The sequence below is a fragment of the Homo sapiens genome, chromosome 2, assembly GCF_000001405.40.
Source record: "Homo sapiens chromosome 2, GRCh38.p14 Primary Assembly".
NCBI classification, from domain to species: domain Eukaryota; kingdom Metazoa; phylum Chordata; class Mammalia; order Primates; family Hominidae; genus Homo; species Homo sapiens.
In genome coordinates this window covers 50,690,458-50,712,547 of record NC_000002.12, presented here as the reverse complement: position 1 = coordinate 50,712,547, position 22,090 = coordinate 50,690,458, and the positions used below count along the sequence as shown (strand labels likewise).

The window sequence follows — 22,090 nt, the reverse complement described above, 5'->3', positions numbered from 1 at the left end:
TGAAAAGTGCAAAAGGATATATAAGGACACAGGGGACCTGGTTTGGCCTACATTAAACCAAGATCTTTGATTAGCTGAGAAGTTGACCACTGGGCAAGAGTCTGAGCTGCTATTACACTGATACAGGAGAGCTTGGTGAAAGGAATGATTTTATTTATTAAATCTGAAGAATCTGAAAGGTTTTGTAATGTAAGTTTGTGCTTGAACAATTTTTTTTAAAAAATAGCAATTAATTATGTTGCTTTGATATACGGAGATACAGCATTGGAAAGGAAAGGGAAGACTTTAGAATCTAACTGACACCTCTTACTTGGAACCTGATGTTTATAATGTGTTGAACAGTTTATTAAACTCTCTGAATCTGTAAAATGTAATCAATAATATTTCATAAATGGCATCTTTGTGAAGATTAAATGATTTAACATAATATATAGCACTTAGCATGTGTCTAGATGTAAGTATTAAGAAGAATACAATTATCTTTCCTACTTGAAATAATGTAGGTCAGGATCCTGGTCTGTTTTGTGCTGCTGTGACAAAATATTATAAACTGGGTAATTTATATGAACAGAAAATTATTTCTCACAGCTCTGGGGACTGGCACGTCCAAGATCAAGGTGCCGGCGTCTGGTGTCTGGTGATGGGCTTCTTGCCTCACTCAGTGGCAGTGGAAGGGCATGAATGTTATGTACTCAACATGGCAGAAGAGCAAAAAAGAGAGAAACCACTTCCAGAGGCCCGTTATAAAGAGGCACTAATTCCTTTATGAGAGTTCCACCTTCATAACCTAAATACCTCCCAGTATGCCCCACCTCCCAACACTGTTGCATTCGGGGTTAAGTTTCTAATGCATGAGTTTTGGAGACATATTAAAACCATAGCAGTCAGTGATACTCAAAGTCCATTACCTGAGCCCAGGTGCGGTGGCTTATGCCTGTAATCCCAGCACTTTGGGAGGCCGAGGTGACTGGATCATCTGAGGTCAGGAGTTCAAGACCACCCTGACCAATATGATGAAAACCTGTCTCTACTAAAAATACATAAATTAGTCAGGTGTGGTAACATGTGCCTGTAATCCCAGCTACTCAGGAGGCTGAGACAGGAGAATCACTTGAACCTGGGAGGCGGAGGTTGCAGTGAGCCAAGATTGTGCCATTGCACTCCAGCCTGGACAACAAGAGCAAAACTCTGTCTCAAAAAAAAAAAAAAAAAAAAAAAGTCCAGTACCTGAACTATCATTTCAAAGTCACCTAAACAGATGAAAGTGCAGATTCCTGAGGGCTGTTTCAGACCTTAAGGGTGTGGGTCCTGGGAATGTGGTTTTTCAATAAACATTCCATCCAATGCTTAAACTTACCAAAACTGACAGCCACTGGTTTAGATAGAGCCTTGCAGTAGAGACTAGTGTTTGCTACGCAGGGTTGTTAAGGGTTAAGGGTTAAGAGTGCAAGAGCTTAATTTTAAGCTGACTTGACCAGTAAGTACACAGAAGTTTCTATTTTATATTAATTCTGTTTGCTTGTTGTCATTATTCCAATGTTCAGAAGAGTCAGTAAATATTCTTTTCTATTATGGGGGCCACAGAGGTAAATTTTTTTAAGGTTTTACTGCACCTGGTTGTAATTTAACATGTTAGATACAGTTGCAAACAGAAAGGTAGTTAATAAGGTCTAAAGATGTGTTGAATTTGGCATATCAAAAAACTAGTTTAAAAGTTGAAAACCAAAGTAACTGTAGTCAAATAAAGATTTTCTCTTTCCTTGCCAAAAAAAGCAGAGAAGCAAACTTAAAGTTAGATGTTTATCAGCTCTGCCCTGTGTGCTCACTTACCAGCAAATAATTGATATACCTTTTTACTATATGTAAGCTAAATGTCGAGTTCATTTATTTTTGACACTTTTTAATGCTTATTCTTAACTTATTCAAAGATGGGAAAAGTATGTTTAGGCTAAAAAATGTCAATTTGACATTAACTTCAATGCCTGAACCTAGTCCAAAAGAACAAACTATTGAAATTATAGGGAGTATTAATGACATCTAATAGCTTGCTGAAAAATAGAGAAATCAAACCCAAGTACAAGGAAAGCAAGAATAATGTTTATAAGATCCTCTCTGTGCATAGAGGTGGGTATGTGTGTTGTTAGGGGTGCCTCACAAATGAAGAACAGGTGTATATTTATAGAAGTGGGAATTGAAATGTTCTCTGTAGTGATCTGGAGTTAATGCATTACCTGAGTAAGATGTGAGTTTTTAAATTTATTTTCTTTTGCAGCTTGCTGAAATATCAAGGCCCTTTGGCAGTTATCAGGAATACTTATTATCTGTTTAAGAGGTTCTTTCCTGGCGTGTGGTCGACAGTTGAATTACCTTCAGTGGTAATACAAGTCTGCAGCTCCTTTGAAAGCTCCCTGTTCACCCACAATGTAAAGTTGCAAGCGAACAATTTTATCTGCTCTCAACCTTTCTTTATATAGGAAAATCTTGTTTATTCATTGCACATGTTCTGGTGGATGCTTTCTAGTCAACAATTCAGATACCTCTAGATCTCTTTTCTCACTCATTGAGCAGTAATAGTAGAGTCTTACATGTATCAACTCAAAATATATCTTCTGGAATGCATTTCTGGGGAACTGGGCCAATAAAGGACCTTCATTCTAATTGAATTCTTGATAGCCTTGTGATCTTAGAGGAATGTTCTGATATGTCAAGTGTTGGCCTCCTTCTAAGAATGGTCAAGTAATTTAATATGAGCCAAAGTTCTAACATTTTAGACTTGAACCAATGAATAGTTCATTCCTTAAGCATAGAACAACAGTCCTCACTCAGTGGGCCAAAAGTCTGCCAGGATCAGTTCAAAACAACAGTCCCAGCCATGAGAAGCAGATTTCGGGTATTTTCAGATTCCTCTTGGTCTTCCTGATTTTATTCCTTCAGGTCATATCTCAGGTAACCAAATCCTTCTTGGTGCCTGTTATCCTGTGGGTACTTGTTAATGGCACCCTCTTTCTAAAGTGGTACCTTCTCTGAAGTGATTCAGTTTGGATGATAGGTTATATGGCCACCCTTGTCAAACTTCACAAGCTACTTCCTCTGAGAAGCCGTTTCTGATGCTCCAGAGTAGATTAGATCCTCCTGCTATAATGTCTCATAACACTGTGTATTTCTATTTCACTGTACTTATCATAATTGTTGGTAATTTTTGGTAACTGTACACTTAATATATTTTTCCTGCTAGAATGTAAACCCCATAAAGATAGAGTCAATGTATGGTTCCGGGTTTCATCTCAGTACCTAGCAAGCATATAACAGGTGTTCAATAAGTATTTGTTGAATAAATGTGTGCAAATATCACGTGCCATCCACCAATACCAAGCTCATTCCTCAACAAGTAAGCTCATGTGGTTGCCTGTGGTACGAGCTGATGCCATCTGTGAGGCATCAGTGCTGTGAGGAGGGGCCCATACTGACCTTGTCACCTCTGAGAGGCTCCCATAAAGGCTGGCTCTTGGAAAGCCATGAACAGAGGACAGTCCCTGTTAGAAATCAGCAGGCAATCAAATGTCTGCATAGAACCCTGTTCTCCTCAGTGAATGCCAATGGCCAAAGCACCAACAGGCTTGTTCCTGATCTGAGTGCCTGGATTGAGCTATGGCTGGAAGCTCACACAGTGGTCTTGATTCAGGCTTCTGTAGCCTAGGGTTTCTTCACTGTCACCCTGGATCCCTGCTCTGGCTCCTTACATGAGTAGTTTCAAGAAAAGAAAAAGTGGGAAAAGGATGCACAGCTAGAATGAGGAATGGAGAGAAGCAGACTAGATCCCACCGATACTTTACACCTTAGATTTGCTTTCTCCTCCTGTGTGAGGTCCTATTTCCCATCACACTTTATTGGGTTGTCTTAGGTAAGGGTACCCTGTTTTATGGGAAAATAAGTCTTCCCTCTGTGTAACTTAGGTACCCTGCCTGTTGTTGAGGACAACAATTCAAGGTCAAGAAACTTCTCTTAAACTGTGCAGCTTGCCTTTTACCAGGTACTTTAAGTCCTTTATCTTACTAACGAGGCTCTAGCAGTGAAAACTCAAGCCCTGTTCCCAGCAGCAACAACAAATCTTATTACATAGAAAGTTAATTGGCCAATAAGAAGAAATGCCAAGCTTTGCCACAGAGGTGATATAATTCCAATCAAATGCTGCTAAAATTGACAATTCAGTTAACCTGTGCATTCTCTTTAGTTACAGTTTCTATGATAATTTTATAAGTATTGAAAATAGTTCATGAACCACTAGTACTTGCTTATCCATTTATTTTTGAGTGCCTGAAGAACCTAGATCAGGAATCGTTACATGAGATAATTTCTAAATCTTTTTTCAACTCCATTGTTCTTTAACTTTCAGATTCATTTATATCAGTTCTAATCTTGAGTGTTGGCCAGCTTAGGAACTCGTAATTTTCTTAGGTTAGTCCTAAAACACTAATGAGTATTCTATTCCTACATATATCAAAGATTAGTAGGTTACTTCTATATAATACCTGAAATCTTTATAAGAAACAAAATGTTCAGTTAGCAATCCACATTTTTACAAATAGGAAATGTATTAATGATAGACAACTCTAACATTGTTGGTTGGAGATTATCCATCTGTAGCTAACGATTGAGATTTAAATGTAAACACTGTTAATATACTGTAGGAAAATCTGTAAGATCTTCTAGGATCTAAAGTCCAAATGATGGGATATTTTATCTCTAGGCTAAGAATGAAGACGGAAACATTTTTCAACTAGATAGGATATGCTCTTCCGTATGAGTACCCAGAGTTTGTTGCTGCTGGCTTCTTCTGGATCGATCACATTGTTCTAAATGAATGATGCTGTCAGAGTCCTGAAGAATGGCAAGGAGTTCTGCAGTCCAGTCTGGATATAATGAAAATGCCCTAGCAGCTTCCCAGGCTTCATCAGGGCAGCAGGATTAAATTTGAGCTCAAGTTTTGAAATGATAAAAAGCTGTTTGACTGAATTTTCAATATGTTTATCACAAAAAAGCTGAAAGTACAAGATAACGTCTGCCAGAAATTTGGAAGTTGAAATGGGTATCAGAACTGCCTGAAAGGAATCTACTGCAGCTGAACATAACTCACATTTCTACCGCCAAGAACCAGCACTGCACTTTTCTTCAGAATTATTTTTAACTAGCTTGGAAGTCATCCAGGTTTGACTCTCCCAAAAGCAATTTTGTAAATGTGCGAGGGGCTAACTGGGTTCTGATTCAAAAGACAAGTGCACCTGAATGTCTTTTGTACAGCTGTGAAAATCCACAGGATGGTCATCACTTATCATTCCACTGTGGAACAGCTTACTGGGAAATGCAATTTCTTCCAAAGGTGATGAAAGCCAGCAAGACATATCAAAGTTGGGCCAAGCAAATACATACACACCTATTTTCCTTTAGAAAATATTCAGACAATAAGGTGAATGAAAATGTATGACCAGAATCATTACAGACAGCTGCATATACCCAACAAAAATTACAGCTGCCACTTTAAACCCATCTAAACCATGTGTAAGTTCATTTGAAATTTACCATGAGATAAATGGGCTACTACCACCTCATGATTGTTCAAATTTTATGAAACAAGGAAAACTAGAAGGCTTTATGTTAAACAATGAAGGATAAATTGTCAAAATATGAAATGGGAAATGTTTCAGATGACCCTTGCCTTGTAGCAAAAAAAAAAAAAAAATCCAAATATGTCTTTTCATATGACTTATATTGGTTGCCTTCTGCTATCATATTGAAATTAAAAATGCACCGGTCATTGATAAGATTCCCATTTAACAATAACATTTTATAGATTTCTTATGAAATTGACATGTTTGGCTAAGTAGAGTCAAATATAACACTATCAGAGAGAACTGAAATATTTAATAGTGTTTTCAGCTTTTATAAACCACAGCTAGTGTCTACTTTATTGGCTGTGAAGATTTCTTGTAAAGCCAATGTTCATCTTGAATAAACTATTTAGAGGAGTCATTTACCAGTTGGAGAATTAGAGATTCTAATTCTAATTCTAATTCTCCAATTGCTATCAAGTTTCCCTTATCAATAAGCTCAGGTTATTTACTAAAGTAACAGTCTCCCTGCCATTAACAGAAGTATTTGCTAACCTGTTGTATAAAATATACTAGAATGTATCTCATGCGTGATGTGATTATTGTCTTAACCGTCTTCTCAAACTCAGAACAGGCAATGACTATATAACCCAGCAGGTATATGTATCAAAAAGTACCCTGGAGTTAGTAGACTGTTTTGTTGAGAGTTCACTTACATTACTTAAATAATGGAAATGCTTTTGAAGGATTGACAAAGATGTAAAGAAGGCAGTAACCATAGTTTTTGTAAAATAGCTACATGATTAAGAGCTCAAGAGAGAACAAGAACCTCATGATAGCAATGTCTAGTAGACACCAGAATGAAGTTTAGCACTTGGAAGCTTGACGGGGATCCATGGCAGAGTTTGTGAATCACTGTTCTACTAGTCTACTGCTGAGTAACTTTACTCAGTTTGCCTCTTTTCTCCATATGTGATTTTTGTGCTTTTCTTTGTACTACTTACTGACTCCTTTATCTCTAATTAGAATTTGTAGGAGAGCCTCTGATTGTTTTTGTTTATTACCACTATTCCTGTCTGTGCAGATCTTTTATGTGTGGTCGCACTATGGGCCATAGGCCAATCAACATAAGGGCAATTCCTGAATTAGGTGACAAGCATGGGCTCATCAGCGGTGTCTCTGGGGGCAGCAACAGCATTTCACTTGTGTGGATGGAAGTACTTAGAAGGAAATGTCAAAATGAGGTTGAAGCTGCAACTGATTTTCTGAGACTTCATTTATCTCCTTTATTTCCCACTGAATTATTCAAGAAAAACATTGTATGTGGGAGGTTGGAAATAATCCAACTGCATTGGTCAGGAGATTATCCAGTAATCTAAAATTATGAAAGTCAAGATATATCTTATTCATAGTGCCAGATCACTTCTTTGTGATTAGTTATAAAGCAGCATGTTACTCACATAATTGTGGAGCACTTACTGTATACCAGGCACTTGCTAAGTGCTTCCGTGGATTATCACATTTAACTTCTACCACAAAGCCCTCAAATACTTTGATAGGTTTAACATAATTATTGATACCATCAGTCTGATTCAGTTTTATCTATTGAAAGCAATAGAATCGTACCCATTTATTTGTTTAAATAAAATTGATAAAATATGGACCAATTGAATAAAGAATTGGAAGTTAAGCCCATTCGTATTATGATTCAAATAAACTTGTAAATACATTCATCTTTGTATGGTTTCCTCTTATACTGAGACACATTTGTCAAAATGTCAACTTATCAGCAAACTAGATAATTATTAATTCAGTTCTGAGTTACAGTAGATTTATGCTAGAAATCGGCAGTTCCTGGGGATGGGTGTGTGTGTGTGTGTGTGTGTGTGTGTTTGTGTTTCTGTGTATATATTGTAAACAAATGTTTTATTCGTAAGTTATTAAGCTGCATAACTTTAGGCAAGTAATTTTACTTCTTGAAAGATCAGTTTATTTATCAGTAAAATGACAATAATAATTCCTGCCTTATTTAACTCACAGGTTTTCGTGAGAAAAATATGAGGAAATTTATATTTAGAAACTATTGTAAATTGTAATATTATATATTATTAATATGCTACATTAATTGTGATAGAAGGGCCAATATTTTCTTATTTCTTTCATTGGTATTTATTTGTGCCAGGTTAGGTTTTGAAAAATTCTAATTAATCATAAGTAATGAGATCAAGGAAAGCAGTAAAATGAAAGAAATGAAACACAGAGCCCTAAAATATTAATATAAGACAAAAACATAAATTTACACATATAAATTATGCCAAAAATCCTGAAGACTAACAATGTTAAAAAAAAAAAGTGATATGACCTAATTTTCTCATATAACATTTTAAGATCTTTCTTAAAATGAAACCATTATTTATCAATTCAATTTTCAGATTTTTAGCTTCTAAATTAATGCTTTAGAAAAGTAACTCTCTTTTAAATATTTTTGCAAATATCCTGCAGCATATTGAAATAGTAATCTGTTCCATGTTCATTTTTTCTTTTATTTCTATTTTCTTAGGTAATGCAAACTTCCTACTCCCTTTGATTTAAGAATTGTAAGGAAACTTTGCCTAAAGATGAATAATATATATTTTTAAAAATTGTGCTTGACCCAATTGTGAACCAGCAAGAGGACAAGCTTGGAAACAATTTAAAAAAACTATATTTGGATTAGTATCAATCTTTTATAATCTTTCTTCTCTGTTGATATAAGAGGATGCATACTATTCTATCAGTAGAGAATAATAAAGATAATATTGGCCACCAGCTGTCTTCTAGAATCTGATCCAGTTTATATATTTCCATACCTAGAAAATTTCCTACTTATATATAATATAGCTGAGTGACCACTGAAATCCATTCAATCCACCAGAAGTGATGTAAGTTAAACTCAGAGCTGGCTCCCCTAGATATATTTTAATATATTTTGAATTGTGCTTTTATTTTATTTTATTCTACAGTAAACTTAAAATGCCCAGCTCTGGATATGAATCTTGCCTTTACCACGTAGAAACGATATGACTTTAGGCAAGTTTCTTATTCAGTCTGTTTCAATTTTCTAACCTGGAAAATGAGTTAGTATAATGAATCTCACAGGATTGTCTATAGGATTAATTAAGTGGGTAATCTATAATCCATGTTAAATTCTTAGCTCAAATTCTAACATACAATAAACATCAATTCATAGTTAACCGTTCCTCATTATTGCACAGCTCTGATCTGAATTAAGTTGCTATTAAATTACTGTAAGTAGTCTTTTATGTTGGGTCTATCCTTGATGCCCTTTATGGCACTCCATGGGTTTCTCTACTGAGGCAGGGCCTATTTGGGCAACCATTGATCACCAAAACATACTTTAAATGAACCTTTCTCAAATGGACTATAACATATGAACAAGCCTTGTAGAAGATGATGTTGACACATCTTTACCTTTCCTTCTTCTTAACCCTCCACCACCTTCTGAAATAAAACTTTTAAGCTAAGGTTGCTCCCTTCCCTTGAGTGCCATCTGGATATCTAGAAATACCTGGTGCAGAGGTCAGTCTGCATTTATCTGTTACTGCAATCATCAAAAAAGAGTTACCTGGATCTGTTAAACATATGCCATTTTCTTGGCAGGTACATTTTAGTCTTTCTCCCCTTTCCCTCATTCTGTCTCACTATTAGGAGTTTTTCTTGCTTTTTCTGGTGGTTTGCCCTCAGGTACAGATGTTCTTATAACTGTTTGTCCTTAGGAAGATCTAGCTTCTATCATTTTGCTTAGCAGCAAAATCTACCTTATTTACAATTAAATGAAATGAGCAATACTAACAGTAATAGAGTGCTTGAGCAAAACATTTGAGAATGTTGAGACTGTCACCAGTTTTTGTGTTTGTTTGTCTGTTCGTTAGGTGTTACTTTTCTCTCACTGGAGATTTAACTTCTGTCTCTTGTTTATATCCTATTATAAAGGGGGAAGCAGAACAAAACAAAAAGGGCATCCTGATAGGGGAATTCAGTTAGATATAATGGAGAATCCTGGGGGAAAAAAAACTTGTCTGTTACTGTTTTTAAAATCAGAGAAATAATTATAACAGTGACAATGAATAAATATTACTTTTTACATTATATGTTGCAATAAAAAGACTGTCCAGACAAAAAAGCAAAACATATTCGATACAGTGTTTTAATTTAGTGAATTTATCTGAGGAGTTATCTAAAATAACAAATAATCATACAATGTAAGTACAGCAATGTATGATTTCTTTGGCTAAGAGAAGTTTAAAAAAATCAAGAAAAGTATGAAATACTGTTGTTTTTAATTCTTCAGTCTGAGATGTGGCGGCCAAGGCATTATAAATTCAAAAAAATGCTATGAATACATTTATGTGCATACAGAAAATTTTCTCTGTTCTTCTTTGAGTTATATTGAGAAGATGAACTATGTAGCTTTGTGAAGCTTGGAAAAGAGAACTGAGCTATTTGTCATTCTTTCAGATATGCTTTCTCTTCTGTGTTTTACATATGCTGAATACAAATGAGGTTTTGTTTTGTTTTTTTTTTTCATTACAACATTTTTAAAAACAAATGGTCTTTTGCAACGTTTTTCCCCATAGTATGGTTCATGAAAATGGCCTGTAGGATGCTCATCTATGTTATCTGGAAAAGGAGTTCAATGTGAAAATATGTTTAGAAAACTCTGGTTTAAACAAAGTTATATCCACTTCTCTGAGCTTTGTACATAATAATGGACACGGTGAATTTCTAAGAATATCTAATAATCCTACTTACCTGACCATGTAATGCTTTTATTTTTTCCTTCGAATACCTGTAGGTCTTATTTCCTATGAAACAATCTTTTTGGAAACCCAATTAAAGGAGTCTTACATTATAATGATTATTTTCAGTCATTAGTTTGTAAAGATACAGAAGTTATTACCAATGATTATTCTAAATTGAATATTTATCAAATATACGAAAAAGCAACAATGGACAAGCACTGAGATCCTATGAGGGACTGGTTACAAATTATTCTTATAGTAAAAAACTAACTGTGACTGGGAAGTCACATAAAAGGGATTATGCCATTATAATTATCCTGATAGAAGAGAGAAAAGAGTAGATGATAAATTATAACAGAGGGAAAACAATAGCAGAAAATGTCTCCCATCCTTAAAGGGCTTACAACTTACTGGAGGTATCCAAGCATTGAAGAGGAATGGGAGTTACCATGTGATGCAAATACTGAATGAGTAGAAGATTAAATGAATTCTAAGATCCTTTCAGTCCCTTGTGATGGGGATTTATATGCAGGACGCTGACAGAGAATAATAAATGATGGTAGGTAATCATGTGCTAACAGAGGTAATAAGGTATGATAGAAATAGAATACCATTCAGAAAAATGCAAGACTCTCAAGTGTCAGTATATATGTAGGCAAAAGGTTTAATTTTCCTGAGCCTTGATGCTTTAATCTGTCAAATGGCCGTAAGACTTGCTAGCCTTCTGTGAAAAGAATTGTCTGTAAAGTATGTTACCAAAAGTGTGAGATAAAATACAGTAATAATAATACTGTTTGTATATGCCAAAAGCAACTCTGGAAGAGTCAATATAATAATAATAATGACAATAGTTGTTTTAGACGGGTTTGTGGGAGTGCAGGTAACTGGACAGATAAGAGACAGAGATGATGAGATTGAAACTTTTCTCTGTATATTTTTATGCTTTAAAAAATTAGATAGTAGAAATATTATCTGTTCAAAAATGTAATAGACAAGGTGTGATAAATAACTTTGGAACATTTTATCAGTGGAAGGAAAGGCCTACTTTAATGTAGTTATTTTTTAATTTCAAAGAGCAGGGTGTCTAACTAGAACTAAATTTTATTTCTGTCTATGATGTAGTGGAAGAAGCACCCTTCGGACAATTTAAGAGATTTTAAAAATCTTGATCCCTGGCCGGGCGCAGTTGCTCACGCCTGTAATCCCAGCACTTTCGGAGGCCGAGGCGGGCAGATCACGAGGTCAGGAGACTGAGACCATCCTGGCTAACACGGTGAAACCCCGTCTCTACTAAAAATACAAAAATTAGCCGGGCGTCTCAAAAAAAAAAAAAAATCTTGATCCCAGCTCTTTGGAAATCTATTGGTCTAGGTATCAAATAAAAAACTTATCCTCACATTTTTCTCTAAAGAGAATGAGCAAATCAATAAATATGGTCAATCTTTATTTCTTAACTCCAAGATATGCCCTACAAAAGTGACATGCAGTGGGAACAAAATAGGGTATTTTATTAGAGCCTAGTTAATAGTCTATGCTATAGAAAGATTCCAAGGACTTGTTACCTTGGTGCTATTATTACTAATACAATAAGGTCACAGCAACTTTGAGTTTAATATCATCAAATAGATGGTTTAAATTTTGGATGCCTAGGAAACATGTGATCTTTTATCTTATTTTTAAAATTTCACCTACATTTTTTTTCTCCTGTGTTTTGGCCCTGCCATTTACACCATATCTTGTCCAGAAAAATTGCCATTGGCCCAGCAAAGGATACAGTCAAGTTGATACAGATGTCATAGAAATTAAATGGAAGAGTTGTGCTCCATCACTTTGACAACTAAATTACATGGAACTCAGCTGTAGGTCAGGTGCTGGTTACTTTTCCAAATGGAGCTTGTGGTGGAGCAATCTCATTTGACACTACTAACAGTTTAGATGACTTTAGATTTGGATATCCATTTGGATTCACTTTTAAATTAACTGCTCAAAAATTTTAAGAATAAAGTGTCATACGGAAACCTTGCAAAGAGTCCTTTATCAAAGGACAAACATATATTCAGAACAACTAAAGGAACAATTTTTTTTAAAGACTATTAGTTCTTCTACTTATCTTTTAATTATGCAAACATACCTACTGTGTGCATAATTTGTAAGTTAAAGAAGGCAGCAGGGTGAGTGGACAGAGTGCAGTACTTGGAGCTTAGAGGAAGTTGGTGGTTTTGTGTGTCTGCTGCAAGGGCTATTGGAATTGAACATGCCATGAGTGCTTTATTACTTTCCTATGGTTGCTGTAAAAATAGCCAACAATGGCTTATAACAGACTACATTTATTATTTCACACTTCTGTAGGTCAGAAGTCTGAGTATCATGTGTCTAGGGTAGGTCCTCTGCTTGGGCCAAAGGCAAGGTGTTGGCAGGGCCATGTTCCTTTCTGGAAGTTCTGAGGCTAAGTCTGCTTCAAGCCATTCGGGTTTTTTGACTAAATTCACTCCCTTCTGGTTGTGGGCCTAAGGTCCAGTTTCCTTGTTGGCTGTCAGCAGGGGGCCTGGATTTTGGTTGGAGGCTGCCCTCATTCCATTTCATGCTTTCCAGGTGCCCCTTCCTCTGTCTTCAAGCAGTGGGAAGTGAAGTCCCTCTCATGCTTCAGATGTCTCTGACTTCCCCTTCTGCCACTTCTCTCCTGCTCCAAACAAAGCTCCTGCTTTGAAGAACTCATGCAATGAGTTGATCCACTCAGATAATCCTGGATCATTCCTCTGTTTCTAGATCTATAACATTAATTACGTCTTAAGGACATATTCACAGGATCTGGAAATTAGGATTTGGACTTCTTTGCTGGTGGTGGTGAGGATTCTGTCTACCTTGGGTGGTGAATCCCAAAAGTTATAAGGTGTGAATATTGCCAGAATATTAATTTTTGGGTGGATAGCTAACCAATGCTTTTGTTTCCATTTAATCTTTATCATCCCATACTAGGTTTTAAGAGAAAAGAGTTTGTTGGAGGCTAGATCCTGCTATCATTTTGTGTTTCCTGCATGGTACATACAGGCTGCACCATGACTGTCTGACAGTCTCTGTCTTTAGAGAGGTTTCTGCCTTTAGAGAGATTTACAGGCACTTTGAGAAGATAATTAACAATACTATTGTCAATTGGTAGTATAGGTTCTTAATGCTCTAAAGGTATATATAGAGAGAACTTTTTGTGGTAGAGCTATGAGTCAAATTTCATGGAAAAGACTACTTTGGACAGCTTTAAAGTGTACTTCAAACATGGAGAAATGAGAAAGAGAGAAACAGACAGACATTTCATAAACAATGAATAGCAAAAGCATGGATATCAGGAAAGAGAAAACCTTCTTTGAGGGCAATTTTAACTGGAGAAGAAAGTTCTACTGGATGTTTTCTAGGGAATAATGGAGACTAGTTGATGAGATTCTGTTTCAGTGGTTTTCACATTTTTGGATTCAAGATCCCTTTTTACTTTTTAAATGTATTGAAAACCTCTGAGAAGTTTATGTTTGTTGTATAGGTTATGTATATGTATTAGTGTTTACTCTATTGAGAATTGACTGAGAAAACATTTATATATTTATTAATTCATTTTAAAATAGCCACCACATTGCATGTTGCATGTTAAAATAAATTGTGTACTTTTATGAAAAATAATTATATTCCAACACTAAGATAATTTTGTGAGAAGAGTGACTTATTTTACATTATTGACAATCTCTTTGATGTTTGGCTTAAGAGAGCTAGATTCTCACAACTACTTCTGCAGGCAATCTTTTGTGATAGCATATATCCTTTGGCCTCTAGACAGCACCGTTGTATATTTGTGAGATGATGAAAAAGATTTTGGCCCTTGGCCCTCCCGAAAGTCTCAGGGACTACCAAATGTCCTTGGACAACATTTGAGGACTTCTGTCTTATACTGTCAACGAATATCTACTGAGCACCTACTAAGTGCCAGCACTGCTGTACGGGTGGGAAGTACAGGACAAACAAGACCATGACCCTGCCCGCACAATGTTTACTTTCTCATGAGAGAAGGAGGATTCTAAAGTGAAACAACTAAGATGATTTCAGATAATGATAGGTGTTATGAAGAAAATTAGACTGGTATTAGGATGAACTGTAGTGTAGATGGGGTTGTGTTGTTATTTAGAGCCAGATTAACGAAATTGGCTCAAGGCAGTGACTTTAAGTGAGAGTAGCAGGAAGTGCAGCCGTGTGAAGAGCTATGGAGAGCTGTCTACTTTGGGGGAACAGCTGGTACAAAGCACCAAGGTAAATTGAAGAGTTAAAGGAACAAAAGTGCCAACCTGGAGGCAGAGAAAAGAAAGAAAATGAAACAAAGATGTGGGCAGAACCTATTTTATTTGAGGCCTTGTAGACCATGGCAACCCAGGATTTGAATTATATTCTAAATATTATTTGAGGATTTGAAGAAAAGAATGATGTAATCTAATTCACATCTTCAAAACATCACCATAGTTGAGAAGTGAAGCATGGGCTACAGAAGAGCAAGGAAGGGAGAGAGGAGACCTTTCAGGGGAGTGTCGCGTTAGGTTCGGATGAAACCACAGAGGAAGTAACAGGCAGTCATTACGTTCAAGATGAAGGTACAACTGACAAAACCAATACATTAATTTTCCTTTCAGTCTGATTAAAATCCATTTCTCTATCTGACCATTTCTCTAACTTGTCAAGTTTCACTTTGAAAGATGCTCCAGTATTTCAAGGTCTTAACACTCTTTCCAACTTTTGTCACACACAAATTTAATGAGCATCCTCTCTCTTAGACATCATTGTAGCATATTAATCATATACTGTCCTAACTTACCTTATCAGCTTGTGACAATGAGTCTTTTCTAAAAAAACTTTTCCTGTATATTCAAAATGAAGACTAATGAAGTTTATTTATACAAGCTAAAAATATAACACTCAGAATTACGTGTGCAAAATATTCCCTGTAAAGTATATTTTATTTCTCTTTTTCACTTCCCATCTGCCCCTTCCAAATACATCTTTGTCTTCTGGTTGTTGAGAGGTTGCAGGGTATTCATATTGTCTTATTGCTGGTACAGTAGGACGTTTGTGTATGACCCAGCTTTGTTTGTTAAGGTGCTTGAAGTAAGTAATATGCTCTCAATGAGACAAAAGCAACAATTTGGAAACAAAAGTGGAAATTAACAATGCCACTGGTTTCTGTTTAAAGAATTTATGTATCAGGCTTTCATTGTGAATAAACTCAGTAAGCAGCTACTCAAATGATGTGATTACATGGTCTAGGAATATACTCTTGGTCTCCAAAATGACTTCTCTATGACTCCTGGTAGTATATGAAACTTAGTAATTAACACTTTCTACCATTTAAATCAAATAAATATGTTTATCTCTGTGAAAATTCAGGTATTCTTAAGAGAGCCTCACTGATCCTCACCCGAAAATTCATGCTTTGGTTTTAATGGGTGTGCTTGCTGGTTTCTCTACAGAGAGCTGCTTTGACAGTTGCAAGATAAAAGAAGAAATAGTTGCTCAGAACCACAAAGAAAATAAATAGACATTGGAAGAAGAGGCATAAACAGTTTTCTCCGCCTGCTTCACCCCATTGCCTTGGCTTTTCTTGTCTTTCTTCTACCTTATCACGACCTTCTTTAGCAAACTATGATTTAGCTTAGAGGAGAAGCATGTTTAAAGAGTTGTAAGACAGGTTTTCTTTTCTAACTCTCCATCAGAATATTACTTACTTCTGAGACTGTTTTTCTTATTTATAAGAAAGGAGATTTATAACACTGTCAGCTATCTGTGTGAAGAATTATGTACATTTCAAATTCTCATTTTTTCATATGTATAGAACATTTTATGGTCTTCAGTTCTGTGATATACGTGTGTGTGTGTGTGTATATAGCATATGTGTATACATACACACACACACACACACACACACACACACACACACACGTATATGTACTGTCTTTTAAAATTTCCATAGTCGACTGGGTGTGGTGGCTCTTGCCTGTAATCCTAGCACTTTCGGAGGCTGAGGCGGATGGATCACCTGAGGTCAGGAGTTCAAGACCAGCCTGCCCAACATGGTGAAACCCCATCTCTGCTAAAAATACAAAAATTAGCCAAGCATGGTGGTGGGCGCCTGTAATCCCAGCTGCTTGGGAGGCTGAGACAGAAGAATCGCTTGAAGCTGGAGGGCAGAGGTTGCAGTGAGCCAAGATTGTGCCACTGCACTCCAGCCTGAGTGAAAGAGCGAAGCTCCATCTCAAAAAAAAAAAAAAAAAAATCAGAGTCACTCTGGTTAGGCTTATTTCCCTAATCCTTTGGAATATTAGTAAAACTGAGGCTCAAAAAACTAATGCACAAAGTCATATGGATAAAAAGCGATATCTAACCATTTATCTTCAACTCTTCCTACTATAGCACGTCGACATTTATTACCGTGTTCTAGATAAAAGCCTTCTTAGAACTATTAACATATTTCACATATTTTAATCTCTCAAATTTTGTTTCTCGTTTTGTACAATAATTTGTGCTCCTAGAGGAAAGCAAAGACTTAGTCTAATCTCTTTGTCAAATGGAAATAGACTAATGTTACTTACTATGAATAAGAGACTATATCTCTGTCCCTAGCAAGATGTCTCTGGCTAAGGGATTACCCATAGTTAATAGAACCCAGGATCTATGAGGCAGGGCTACCTGGAGCATATGACATAAGGTACACCACTTTATGTTATATGATGCACCTTATCTGAACTTGATAGCTTATATCCTTGAAATTATTTAGCAAAGCTTGATGCTGGGCAAGATCTTTAATTCATGTGAGTCTGATTTGACAATCTAATCCTCACATTTGTCGGTAAATAATACAATTAAAATATTCTGAAGGAATCTCAAGTACAAATACCAAAGATAAGATGCCTTCCCCCCACCGCCACCCCCTTACCCAGGTTGAAATGTTACTGATAAAATATGTTGGTAAATAGTCTCCCTACTGCACTGGTGAAATCAAAGCCACCCTTAAGCAGTGAAGATGGCTAATTTAATTTCAGTAGTTATAAATCAAAATTAAGCCTAGGAAACTGGACCCATAAATGGCTGCAGAGAATCCAGCTGTGTTTATTCTAAAGGCACTCCCAGATCAATTTGCATGGAGGTGATTTGGCTATGAGATAAGGGAACTGTCTTTCAGCCCCATCAGTTAGAACAGTCACCAGGATCTAAAGTACCCAATCAAGAGAATACCCCGCAATTAATTTTTTATAAGCCAAGGAAAGACTATTGCTAAAATGTAGAATAAAGCCTTTATTTTGTAATGATTACTTTTGTTCCAGAGAGCATTTTCTGGATTAAATATGAATATTGGGGATAAAAGGATTAACCGATTTTACCTCAAATTCAGTAAGATAAAGAATGTAACCTCCACCTACTCATAATCAAATCAATTGATTTGTTCTTTGGTAGAATTGGTTTGATTTTCTTTTCCCTACCTTGAATTTAACCAAAGGATATGATGCTTCTTCGATTCTGACTTTGTAGAGATGAACAGAGATAAATCAGTTTTCTTGAGTGTTCAACCTTGAATGGACAATCCTCAGACTTAGAAATAATTATTTCAACTAACAAATATAGAAGGTTATGGAGACACAAAGAGGGACAGATTCCAAGGAGTTTTATTATTTACATCAAATGTTTTTTATAGTATACAGCTTAGAAGTTGACTGATTTATGGTTTAATTCCAACTATTATATATTCACCCATACATTAAGAGGGAAACCGATGCAAAAAGATAAAATAACATGCCCAAACAGACAGAATATGTAAATGTAAGAGACAGTGCTAGAACCTACCTTTTCCCCTCAAATTTCTGGAATCTTTTCTTTCTAGTCTAATCCATTAATTTACAAAGTTTAATTATATTCAAGTAACAATTCATACGTTTCTATTTGGTACCCATTATTTTAAAATGCCATTAAACATCACTTGCTAAATCATACACACGTTAGTCCCTAAACCTCAAAATAAAATGCTATGGGCTGGACGTGGTAGCTCACACTTATAATCCCAGTGCTTTGGCAGGCCAAGGCAAGAGAATCCCTTGAGGCCGGGAGTTTGAGACCATCCTGGACAGCATAGGAAGACCCTATTTCTACAAAAAATAAAAACAATTAGCCGACCATGGTAGTGGATACCTATAGTTCCAGATACTCAGGAGGCTGAGGTAAAAGGGGGACATGATGCCAGGAGTTTCAGGCTGCAATAAGCTACGGTTGCACCACTGCACTTCAGCCTGGACAACAGAGTGAGATTCTGCCTCTAAAATAAACTTCAAAATTAATTAATTAATTAAATGCTATGAAGTATACTTTAGGTTGCAGACATATCTGCAATTTTGAAAATATACCAACTTTCTGAAGTTGAGTTAGTAATATAGATATTAGGTCCTAGTTACCATCTCTTTATTTTCCCTTCATATTTTCCTTTGCAGTTAGTGGTTGCAAGCTGCATTTTAATGCAGAAATATCAGAGTTCATTGATTCAACGTATTTATTTCAGTAGTGCAGTTGTGCCATTTTTGCATTTGTGGTCTCACATTTTGTTCCTTGCCAGTTTATTTGACCTTTGCACGCAATTGTAGGCAGGAGGAAGTCCAAAAGTCCCTAGGTATAGTGGACCAAAGGACCACAGTTATATTCTAAAAAAACACCTCCAAGAAGTCAGGAGGCAGCTATGGCAAGTTGTTTAACATCCGACTCTTACTGTCAAGTGGAGCTGGCCTTTACCACACCAGTCTCCAATCTTGGCACCTCAGTCTACCTCCTATAGTTATTCGGTTAGCATTTAGTATTTAGCATATTGGCATTAAGCACTCTGTTTCTGTTAATTACTCTACCAAAATCTGCCCACAGGATCTATATTTTTCCTTTTGTATTCTCTCCTTTGGATTTTTGCCTTTTAAATCTACTTTCTCCTTGTGATACGAAAAACCTTGGCCTATCAGAAACTATTCAAGTGTCAGCATTCAGCAGCAAAATGGGTTTAGGGGACTGGGGTAGGGCTTACAGTAAGTTTCTCGACTTTGCATCCAGTAGGTATTTTTCTAGTCCACCCATCAATAACATTGACACAGTAACTGATAATTTAGCTCTTCTCATTTACAAACTTCACTTAAAGTGTTGTGTCTTCCCACATTGCTCTTTTTAAATTAAATATACACTCATAGATTGTCACAGATTGGGATGCAGGACCAATAGTCACAAAATGAACATTTTGACTGATAGATGAAGAAACAATGATTGATGGGGTGCTTTCCTGTTGTACTAACATGAAAAAGCTGACAAGAACAGATCAGAGGGGGTGTGAATACTTGTTTAAGTGCAGTACCCACAGAGTGAATCATACTACCCAAGGGGAAAAAGAGAAAATGAAAAAAAAGCCCTCCCCAATTTTTAATCTTAGGTCATTATTGCTGGCAAATCTAACGAGATTACAAAAATAGCTTTTTGTTGATGGATCATAAAATAGGGATAAAGTTGTGGTAGATGATTGATTTTGATTCTCTGTGTTATATCATATTTGAATGTGGCTTTCACACTCTGATTAGAATTTTAAACATGTCTGGGAATTAAAAAGAAATAGAAGTTATGAAAAAAAAATCTCCACAGAGTAGCTTCTTAAGCAGACTGAAATGTTTTGACCTTGAAAAGATAAATCCAGAACAATCTAAAAACAAGCACATAATATTACTGCTAACATACAACACATAGCATGTTAGTGTGTTATCACAAAGTAACAATAAAATAGAAACCACTAGAAAATAAAAAAGGAATGATGCTCAAAACAGGATGACATAATGATGCAATCTCTAATCATATTCAAAGGCATTTTATTCCATTTATGAAATAGAGCCTGCTTTTCTTATAGAGGATTATTCAGATAATATTTACCAAGGCATTTTTTTTTCTGTAAAATTTCTTTGTTAACTAGGCTTACTTGGAAAATAAAAGAAGGAGGGGAAATTAGCAAGGATTAGATAGAATCGGATCTTTGTTTATAACCTCAAGTCAATTCATTTGCCATTTTTTTGTTTTCACACACAGACGTATCTCCCCAAGACAGCCTGAATCAGTGCAGGATATAAACTAAAGGATTTTCAGATGAATATAACTACCATGGAGTTGGCTTTAATGTATATACGTATAAGCTAAATTGTGTATATTTGAAAGGACTTCACAGATGAGTCTTAGTATTCATCTTAGAATAGGGAATGGGAGCTGTTGGGCTACAGTTTTAGTTCAGAGAGAGAAAGTGAATGAGAGATTTTCTATGGAAGCATCCCCGAGTCAGCCCTCGGGGTTGTTATGGCCACAAGAAGACTGACTAACTAAAGAGATCTGGTGATATGTGGCGAGGGCAAGAGTCCTAAAAGGAACGGATGGTTGCCCAGTGCTCCCTTTTGTTTTCTTGGTTCAATCTGCCGATTCTATATAATGCAGCATTGTTCTGCACTGCAAAAGCAGCAACTCTGATCGTAAAACAATAGAAAAGCATTACAAATCTTTGCAATGGCATTTCAGAATAAAGCTGCTCATGTGTATTGTTTCCACAGATGAAAATAAGACCATTTTATCCTTCCTAAAAAAATAAGCATTTGAAGAGTTTTAAAAATTTCTTTAACTTCAATGTTTAAAAAATCTCATTTATTTGAATTGCTATCAAAATGTCTTATGAGATACCAGGTCAGTCTGAACCTGTTATCGCAGAGAGTTAAGCCTAAAAACACTATTCTGAGATCATACATTTCCACTTAACGGTTTTTCAAGTACTATACAGTATGCAAGCCCAGTTCTATGTTCCTGAGATTTTCTTTCCCCATGTCAGATACCTCCTTTATTTTTCTGTTTACTTTTAAGCTAAGAAATTTTACTTCTAATCATCACTTAGGGTATAAAATCAACGATGCATAACTCTCTTCACGTCTTTGAAAACTCTGTATATAATTTGCCTATAAAGAAATTATGGTCATTTGAGATTCACGTCATGCCTCCATCTAAAATTCAGTCATTAACTTTTGGAGTATTACAAGAAAATGTCTTTAGAAAAAAATGTCACTACAAGGTAGGGAGGTTTTGTGAAACAACATCCTAAATTTAACACTCAGCTTAATCATCATTTAATCTGTTGTACCCGATGAGGGGGCAGATATTTCACATGGATAATACTGAGAGCACAGTGGGTCAGTGATTCTCATGGTTAAAGGAAAAGAACCGGGAGGGGAGTGGTTTATTTAATATCTGTGTGTGTTTGGAGAAGAGAAAATCAAGAGAAGTACTTAACATATTTTATCTTCTTTGGCTTGTGTCATTTATACCAAATAAATTATCATTTTGAATCCCGGAGTTTGATCAGGTCTGTGCTACAAGATGACACTTAGGATAAGAGTGCTTCAGTACAGATATGTACTATATGCCTACACAAATATATGTTCTCAAAGCCACTTATTAGAGACACATTGCAGTTCACTTCAATTACACTTATTCTCAAACCCATGGATGCATGTGACATCTCTGAGTAAAGAGCCAGAGAAATCCAGAGACTTGCAAATGTTTTTCTATTCCCACCAACCAAATCTCATGTGCAAGGCTGTGATGGCTTCATGATATGATGGA

The 22,090-nt window shown here is 36.0% G+C and overlaps 1 protein-coding gene and 1 non-coding gene across 16 annotated transcripts in view; both read left to right on the top strand.

Annotated features, from left to right (window-relative positions):
• NRXN1 (neurexin 1) overlaps nucleotides 1–22,090 on the top strand; it is a 1,113,630-nt gene that overhangs the window by 319,585 nt on the left and 771,955 nt on the right. The gene's annotated exons all lie outside the window — the stretch shown is intronic.
• On the top strand, nucleotides 16,286–16,376 carry MIR8485 (microRNA 8485). Its single transcript, NR_130470.1, has one exon. It is a non-coding gene; the product is annotated as a microRNA 8485 (primary transcript).